Genomic DNA, 9426 nt, shown 5'->3' on the forward strand with positions numbered 1-9426 from the left:
ACAATTCTAAACATGTATATGTTAGTACCGAAAGTGAGCTGTAAAGCTGAAAAAAATTTTTTTAACTTTCAATAACTTAAAAACAAAGTTTGATCTGCCATGTTAGAAAGAAGACTGAATTATCCTTCTATTCTCTTTATAGAAAGTGATATTACAAAATCATCATATTAAGAGATAATTAAAGGATACGTAACTAAAAATGAAAACAGTCTAAATGAAATGTAGTATCCTTGATTGGATCCTAAAACTCAGCACGTTCAGCACAATTTCTCTTGTGAGAGAGCAAAGACACATAAACAGAAATCATTGGTTGGAACTTCTGGGAAAACTTATGAAAGGAGCCAAGCCAAGACTGAAGGACACATAATCTTGCCCTTCACCTCTCCTCCTTCCTGCTGCTAGGAATGTCATTGTGATAGAGCTGCCGCAGTCATCTTGCAGCCATGAGGTGATATTAAAGGGAGAAGCCAATGTTAGAAATGGTGGAGCAGAAAGAGGAAAGGATCCTGGGTCATTGGTGATACGACGTAGCCACCATACCAACCCTGAATGGCCTATTCCAGACACGTTCAGAGAATGAATTAACTATCTCTTTTAAGCAAACCATTAATTGGGATTGCTGTTACATGTAACTGAATCTAGTCCTAACTGATAAATCACCTGACCCCATCTTGGGGATCCAGGGACAATTTCCTGCAGATCATGAAAGATAATTAGGAAATAGGTCAGGTAAAGGGTAGTAGGAGCATTAGAGGCTCCAGAGTACAGGTTTTATTTAAAGAGCAGCAGAGAGCCACTGATGGGGTTTAAGGAGAATTTCAGTATTGGATTTTAGTACTGGGAAACAACAAATATAATTATCTCATTGGTAGCTATACTGAAGAGAGGGAAAGACTGAAGTCAAGAAAACTAGGCCAAGAGGTGATGTGACAATTTATGCCAGGAATAAGATCCTGAAATAATGCTGCATAACAGTACTGAACGCCAAGGGCTGTGCCATCAGCAAGACCCGGGGGCCTATCTGGGCTTTGTCACTCATTAGCCATATGAACCTGAGCAAGTGACTTAACTTCTCGATGCCTCTGTTCCTTCCTATTTCCATGATATTTCTAAAAGAATTGAATGAGGCCGTGTGTGCACAATGCTTAGGACAGTACATGTAAGGACTCACTAAATTATTGCTGTTATTATTGTTGCTGGGCCTGTGGCAGTGAAAGACAGGTTCTAAGCAATAAGAAGAAATCAAGAGAATGCTGAGACCAGTTGGATGGAGAGAGGGGTGGATGAGACAGAAAGGAAGTAGAAATGTCTCTCGAATTTCTGTAGAAGAAACAATTTGGGGAGAAAGATAATGAGTCCAGTTTTGGACCTGTGGAGTTGGCAGTGTCTCTGGGCCATCCGCATGGAGATGATGGGTGTTCACCTGCACTGGCAGATACAGAGGGAGTGAGGATCTGAGTTGGAGATAGACTGGAGAGTCCTGGGGGTGGATGAGATCACAGGCCTAAGGTGAGTGTGGAGAATGAAAAGAAGACGGCAAAGAGGGAGCCCTGTGGGTGGTAGGGATGGATCAGAAGGAGCCAGCAAGGAACCAGAGGACGACAGGACAGAAAATCCTAAGAAAAGCCTTGGGAGTGGCCCCAGGAACTTCAAAGGAGACAGAAATTAAAGAAGTGTTAATTGCACTAAATGGAGACCTATGGCTCACGCCTATAATCCCAGTGCTTTGGGAGGCTGAGGCAGGAGGGTCACTTGTGCTCAGGATTTTGGGACCAGCCTGGGCAACATGGTGAATGGTGAATCCCCATATCTACAAAAAAAAAAAAAAAAAAAAAGCTGGGCATGGTGGTGCTCACCTGTAGTCCCAGCTACTCAGGAGATTGAGGTGGGAGGATGGCTTGAGCCCTGGAGGGAGACAGAGGTTGCAGTGAGCCAAGATCGCACCACTGCCCTCCAGCCTGGGCAACAGAGAGAAACCCTGTCTTAAAAAAAAAAAAATGCACGAAATGCTGCAGAACCGTCCAAAAAAAATCTGTGATGTGAACATTGGGCTGAAGGGCAAAGAGGTCATTGGGGACCTTGGCCCCTGCCAGCTGGAGGTTATGATGGGGCTGGAAGGCAGAGTCTGGTTGGGGACAGGGGGCAGCGGTGGGGGAAAGTAATTAGAACCAGGGATCAGGAAGAAAGCTTGTGTGAAGGTGGGAGAGAGTTCCGCAGTAGCCAGAGTTAATAAGGAGAGGAAAACGAAAGGAAAGTAAGGCGGAAGAAAATGGAAGGCAAGAAACCTAGGAAGACAAGAGCAGGCTTGATGTCCATGACAGGAACCCAAGCTGTCCCCGGGTCCTTGCCATGTGCCCAGAGTGTAGAAAATCGCCCCCCGTGGTTTGGGAAAGCCTGGCTGCCCAGCAGGGATAGGCGGAAAATTGGTGGGGAAAGTCTCCAACCTGAGCATGCATGGACAGAGCTCAGAGAATTCAATGAGGCCAGAAGGAAAGAGAATCATGGCTCCCATTTTCTGAGCACTCAACATAGCCAGGCACCTGGTGCCAAGATGTGGCAACCTACGAGGTCCTACCTATTTCACCAGTGAGCACCTGAGGCTCCATGAGGTTAAGGAACCGGCCAGCGCGGGCGGAACCAGGGCCTTCAACCCTGTCTGAGCCCACAGAGGTAATCCTTAGTCACCAAGCGCCGCTGTGTAAGGGACAAAGACCGCACAAACGGCCGGAGAAGACGCGAGAGATGTGGCCCAAAGAGAGGGGACGGGCCTGGGTGATTTTACACAGAGAGGGGACGGGCCTGGGTGATTTTACATAGAGAGGGGACGGGCCTGGGTGATTTTACATAGAGAGGGGACGGGCCTGATGATTTTATATAGAGAGGGGACGGGCCTGGGTGATTTTATATAGTGAGGGGACGGGCCTGGGTGATTTTATATAGAGAGGGGACGGGCCTGGGTGATTTTATATAGAGAGGGGACGGGCCTGGGTGATTTTACATAGAGAGGGGACGGGCCTGGTGATTTTATATAGTGAGGGGACGGGCCTGGTGATTTTACATAGAGAGAGGATGGGCCTGGGTGATTTTATATAGAGAAGGGATGGTCCTGGGTGATTTTATATAGAGAGGGGATGGGCCTGGGTGATTTTACGTGCGGATGCAGAGGAGGGGCAGCGTCGGGGCGGCGGAGTCCGACCTCGGGGGATTCACCCTGAGGGTTACAGGCAAGGCCGCTCCAGGCACGCAGCACCTGCCGGGCGCCACCCAGGAGGGGGCAGCAGCGCCATTCGCAAAGCCGGCCCGCTCCGCTCCGCTCTCAGGCTCAGGGCTGCGGAGACAGGAATCGCAGCTTCCCCTGGAAGGGGCGTCCCAGGGGACCTCCGCCAGGCCAGGGGAACCCGGCCTCCGGGCCTGGGTGAACGTGCCTTCCAGACCATCCTGGCAGGCCGCTGCTCCCTAGAGGCCTAAGGCGCTTGGGACAGCCTCCCACTCTACTCCTGAATCTCTCCTCCATCCCGGCCGGCCCCCACCCACCCCTGGTGGAACGGAGACCCCACGTCTTGCTCAGGACCTTCGCCACAAGGCCTCCCTACTCTGCCGCAGTGAGCCCTGCCAGGGAGGCAGAGCAGCAGAGCCCACCCTGCCACCGCCGCAGGGGCCCTCCCCAGGCTGGCCCTGCTGTCCCAAGGACTGATAGTCACCAGGCTGTACAAATATATCTCCTACAGCACATCGGATGCGAAGGGAAAACGGAGGATCACTATATTGCTTAGAACTAATCTGGTCTTTCTCTTCTGAGCCTCACCCACTAGTTAGTGGGATGGGAGGATAAATGAGATGTCCAATCCAGTTAAACTTTGAGCTGATATTTTAAACCCTGCAGAAAGTGCTGGGTCTTTAGGAAAAGCGCTCAGTGTCTCTGAGAGCTGCTGCTTGCTCTGTCTCTCACTGCGGAGGCAGGGATATGGGGAGCGAGGGGGCTTTCCCCGCCGTGGCAGCAGAGCAGTGGGTTCCTTGGTCCCATGAAGGTCCCTGGCTGTGTGCCAGCTGCTGCCTGCTGGTCTTTGGGGAGACGTCCTTTTGTGGCCTGTGTCGTGCTGGACCTCCTGGCCTCCAGTACTGAATGTGTGGCCCATTCTTCCAGCCCAGGCAGTGCCCCGAGTGGGCTGCAGCCCCAGAGCTCTCCCCGTATCCCCCAATGGCTCTCCAGTCTGTTCCTGGGGAGGTCCAGCCCTTGGGCGTGACCGGGCGGTCACCTTGTCTCATAACAGCAAGCTCACTGGTGGGTCCACTGGTTCCCGACTCAGCATCTGTGCCCCGTGGGACTGAAGGGAGCTCTGGGAAGCCCCCAGGCTGACCATAACGCAGCTCCTTTCCGGGGCTGCAGCCTGGGTTCTTAGGGGGCAGCTTGTGAAGTGGCTTCCTCTCGGAGTCCTGAAGGGTGACATCTCTAACGCTGTCCCTCTGCGGGCCCAGAGATGGGAAAGCCAGGTCTTCCATCAACTCTGTTGATGTCTTGGCTATTCTCAGCCAGTCCACGTCCTTCTCTTTTTAAAAGATTCCCAGGTACAGAAAAAGCACGGTGGGCTTTCCCTTGACTTCTTTCTCTCCACATTTCCTCCTTCCAGACTCCCCTGAACCCTTAGTGACTGGCTTTGGTATCCAGCTGTGTATTTTGGAAATCCCTAGCTCAGCGCTTTAGGATTCACCTTGAAATACCAAGGGAAGAGGAAGAAGAATTTGAAAAATCCCGTCTCAGAATAATGGTCTGGCCTCTCAGGCAGGAACTTTCTGCATAACCTTATTTTGAATGACCAAAGCTCAGCATTGCCTGGGTGTCTCTTGGGATTCCTCCTGTAACCGAGTTGAATCTGCCCACAATTTTCCCCTCTCCCCATCTCATCACGCCTCCTCCCCCTGCAGCCAGATATCTAGGGAGAACAGGGAGAGTGGGAACCGGAAGAGAAAGCATGTTACTGCCTTGAAATGGGATCCCCCTTCCCCTGTCTTGCAGTCTGAAGAACTCTGTTCTCATCAGGTCCAAATCACTTAGCTTTTCTTCTTTCTCTTATTGTTCTGTTAAAGCTCCAGCTATCTATCTCTACTCTCATCACTCCCCAGCACACCTCAGTCCACCCTACATACAGTATCGTCTCCAGTCCTGCACCTTCAGGTAAGGACCACGCTTTGTCTGATTCTTCGGATGCACAGCCCATGCTTTCACACTGCCATGCCATTGCTGCGCCGTGTCCCCACCTGAATTTTCTATCTTCCAGTCCTTTTTCAAGGCTCATCTCAGTATCACTTCCTATGAGAAATCTTTCTCAAGTTTACTAAGTCAGATGAGACTTCTCCCTCCTCTAACGCCTGCACCACTCTGAATCTCTCACATCCTGCCTTGTATTTAGATATGTGTGTATTTATTTCCCAGCTAGGCTGGGATCACTCACTCAGCTACATATCTTCTGTACGGTTGTGGATTAAATTAAATCAAATATGACGCTGGACATGGTGGCTCAGGCCTGTAATCCTAGCACTTTGAGAGGCCGAGGTGGGCGGATCACCTGAGGTCAGGAGTTCAAGACCAGCCTGGTTAACGTGGTGAAACCCTGTCTCTACTAAAAAAAAACACAAAAAATTAGCCGAGCATGGTGGCAGGCGCCTGTAATCCCAGCTAATCAGGAGGCTGAGGCAAGAGAATCGCTTGAGCCTGGGAGGTGGAGGTTGCAGTGAGCCGAGATGGCACCACTGCCCTCCAGCCTAGGCTACAGAGTGAGACTCCACCTAAAAAAAAAAATAATAATTAAATCGAATATGGTTATCAACAGGAATAAACCTAGATCCAGCTTTTAAGTAGGCCCAAAGCCCAGAGCACAGCACTTTACACAAATTATTGAATTTCTTTGGCCTCAGTTTCCTCCTTCGTTAAATAAATGAGTTGGTTTCCATAATGTCTTAGGTCATCTCTTTTTCTGACACTCTATATAATTTCATCCACTCTCTTCTGTGGTCTGTGCGTGCATGTGTGTGTGTGTGTAGGGAGGCAGGGCTAACTAACTGGAGAGGAAAGGTGGAGTAGTGGAATTGACACAAGCTTTAGATTCGGACAAACTTGAGTCTAAATCCAGGCTCAGGCACCCACCTGCTAGGTGACCTTGCACACTCTTACCTGCTCTGAGTTAAATGGAAAATAGGATTGTTCACCCACTCAGTAAGCATTTACTCAGTCCTGCTAAGTACACACATCGCGTTGGTTATCAGAGGATATTGAGTAAATAAGACGTGTCCCCTCTCTGTAGCAGGCCAGAGTTCCTCAGAAGGAGATAAACCTATATCACAAGTAAGTGTCATAACATGCAGAAGTACTAGATGGGAGAATGTTCCTGATACAGTGGGGCCCAAAGGAGGGAGAGACTAAATGGATAAACAGATTATAGGGACTGATCTCACTGGGAAGGTGACAGGGAAGGTTTCCCTGGAGAAGGGAGACCAGGAGGGAATACTCCTGGAACTTGTAGGTGGACGGGGAGACGCAAACCATGCCAGGTCTATTCCTGTCATCGTGAGTCTTCTTTGACCCACCTTGGTGAGGCCTAGGAATCTTGGATCCTGAATGCATTTCCAGAGAGGTGGTCACAGCTGACATCAGTCCTGTGGCTTGGCCTCTGAATCTGTTGATTCCATTCTCAAACCTCAGTTCCTTTCCTCGTTGCAGATGAGTCGCCTCCAGTGCCCGAAGCAGCCTCCTCACCCTCTGTGTATCAAGACTGACCTGTGCCCCAGCTAATCTCTTGGGGAAGAGCAGTGCCTGATATAAGGCAATTATTACCATAAGAAGTGACCCCTCCCCTAACTGCCCCCTTTACTGGGTCCAGGGGAGAAGTCTTCTGCACAGAACCCACAAGAGTTTCTACCAAGGGACCATCTGAAAAACAACTCTAGCCAAAGGAAGCTGTTCAAACACCATCCATTTTGACACTTGGCTGGATTAGCAAGCACCTCTTCCCTCAGAGAGTGGGAAAATTTCCAGAATTAGTCTGCCGGCAGAAAGGGAGGTTGAGCAAACAGGCATATTGTTTTTTCATAGCTGTCTCTCTTGCTAATGTTTGGTCAGCCAGCCGTGCATTTTTGCAGTGTTACATAGGCTTACGCTCAGCCTTCATCAGAGAACAATTAGGACGAGTGTGGGGGAGGCCACAGGGTCAGGGATGACAGATGGGCCTCCACTTAAGCAGGTTAGAAGTTCAGTTGCTCAGGAGGAAGAAGACCCATCTTTGTCTGGGGAGCACAGGGTTGGGTAGAAAGGGGAAGAATGGAAATAAGGCAGAAGGCCTCTCTTTTCTGAAATATCCCTTAGGGATAAGTCCCTATATCTTAAGCAGTTGTTTTAGTTTTCCCTGAAGAAGCATCAGCGGCCCTGGCTGAATCAAGAAGCCAGAGGCCTGGTGCCATTCTAAAATAGCAGCATTGCTATGCTTTCCAACTGAGGGATTACTCCTTGGTGAGCCAGAGAGCTTTGGAACATCGTTTGGAAGCAAAACCACATTTTTTTCAAAAAGAATTTTTTTTAAAGGAAATTTTACATGCAGTGAAGTCAAGGCTTAACTCTTGAGAGGAAGCAGTACAGGGACAGTCATTGGGTCTTTGCTGATGGAACGCTTGCTCTGAGTGGAGGGTGAGTTTTTCTTTGGTGAAAGGTCAGTTGAGGTGCCTATGAGAGGGGAGGGGCAGAGGGTACTGTTTTTTAGAAGGGTTGGTTAGGAGGAGGAAAGTACTGGTAGTTGGTAGAAAAGTACAGAAAGTAGAAAGAGAATTCTGTGAGTTAGCCTTTGCAGCATAACAAACTGCCTCGAAACTATGTGGCTGAAAACAACCATTTTATTTGCTCAGGGTTCTGTGGGTCAGGGATTGGGTTTGGGCTCAGTTAGGTGGTTCTTCTGCTCATCTCACCTGGGGGTCATTCTTCTGGCTGCAGTCATTTGACAGCTCAAAATGGGGTTGGATAGTCTAAGTTAGCCTTACTTCTCTAGCAACAGATGCTGGCTGTTAGCTGGGCCATGTGTCTCCAGAGACCAGCCTTGGCTTCTTCACATGGTGTCTGGGTTCTAAAAGCAGCAAGAGAGAGGAAAAGGCTGACCTCACAATGGTTTTTCAAGTCTTGTCTCTTGTCCTGCACCCTCAGGTAAAGGCCACACTTTGTCCCATTCCCCTGATGCACAGCACATGGGATATTTACTGTCCTATTAGCAAAAGCAAGTCGTACAAGCTCCAAGTCAATGTGGGTGGGGACTGGACAAGAGTATGGATACAGGAGGAAGCCCTGGCTCCATTGGAAGCCATCACTGTAACTGCCAACCCACAAGGGAAGTACATCTTAAATGGACTTGGACACCCTAAGCTCAGTGGGATGCAAACCATGTGAATCAGAGTTATGAGCTAAAGTTGAGGAAAAAAGACCAGAGAATCATCTTGTTGAGTTTTGGAACAAGCCAGCTCTGTCCTGGGGATGCTGGGGTAGGGAGACACTGGGATTAGTAAGACTTGAATAACTCTAGTGAGAATCATTTTTAGCATCTCATAAAATTTATAAGTGTCCTCTTCTTCCACATTTACATTTATATCCAAATAGATATGACCTGAGACTCCTCAGGCCTCCCCAGACTATAGGAAAGATGGTAGTATGGCCATAGAGTCTAAATGGAAAAGCAGACACCATTTCCAGGTTTTACAACAGAAGCAATGGTTTATGCTGGTGATGGAAGGGCAGAGGACCAAAGGGAACAGTGCAACAGCCCAGGGATGAGCAATGGCAGGAGGTCACTACTTCTCTGAGATTGGAGAGGCAAAGAGAAGACACCAACTAATAGAGTCCAGAGACCAGGGTGACATGGTACAAACTACAGTCATAATGGACCTGTCTGATGGGAGCTGGAGCCATGGAGAAGACAGAGCCACTGAGGGAGAAGCCACCCAAGACTGAGAGGGAGTAAGAGCAGAAGCCTGGCTTCTTCCTTCCTTCCAACCCCTCATCTCCTGCCAGTGCCTTTTATGGGCTGCACCTGGCCAGAACCCACTACTCTAGGAGCCTCTGAAACACAGCCTGCAAGGGTAGCCCCCTGTAATAGACAGTAGGAGCAATTCAAGGAATGGATCTGGGGCGGAGAGGCCCAGGACCAGCCCATGGAGCACATTCACAGTAATAACCCAAATATTACCCCTGCTTTATCAAGTAAGACTCTTTCCTCCCCACACAGTCCCACTGTAATTTCTGTGCATCTCTGTGGGTATTTCTTATGAGCATAAGAAAAACTTTGAGGTTGACATCCAAAAGCCATTGAGAAGGGGCGTCTCCCAGCCTGAGAATGCTGCTCTGCCCAGGCTGCTGTCTTCTGCCACCCTGAGGCTGAAAACACTGATGTGTCAATG

The 9426-nt window shown here is 49.3% G+C and overlaps 2 annotated features.

Moving 5' to 3' along the window:
- Positions 3736-4317: an enhancer, noted in NCBI's record as "NANOG-H3K27ac-H3K4me1 hESC enhancer chr4:26031006-26031587 (GRCh37/hg19 assembly coordinates)". NCBI's record gives its function as "activates a minimal SCP1, AML or CMV promoter by ChIP-STARR-seq in naive H9 embryonic stem cells {active_cell/tissue: H9 hESC(naive)}" and the evidence as "EXISTENCE:reporter gene assay evidence [ECO:0000049][PMID:30033119]".
- Positions 4318-4900: an enhancer, noted in NCBI's record as "OCT4-NANOG-H3K27ac-H3K4me1 hESC enhancer chr4:26031588-26032170 (GRCh37/hg19 assembly coordinates)". NCBI's record gives its function as "activates a minimal SCP1, AML or CMV promoter by ChIP-STARR-seq in naive H9 embryonic stem cells {active_cell/tissue: H9 hESC(naive)}" and the evidence as "EXISTENCE:reporter gene assay evidence [ECO:0000049][PMID:30033119]".

The sequence above is a fragment of the Homo sapiens genome, chromosome 4 (assembly GCF_000001405.40).
Source record: "Homo sapiens chromosome 4, GRCh38.p14 Primary Assembly".
Taxonomy (NCBI): Eukaryota; Metazoa; Chordata; class Mammalia; order Primates; family Hominidae; genus Homo; species Homo sapiens.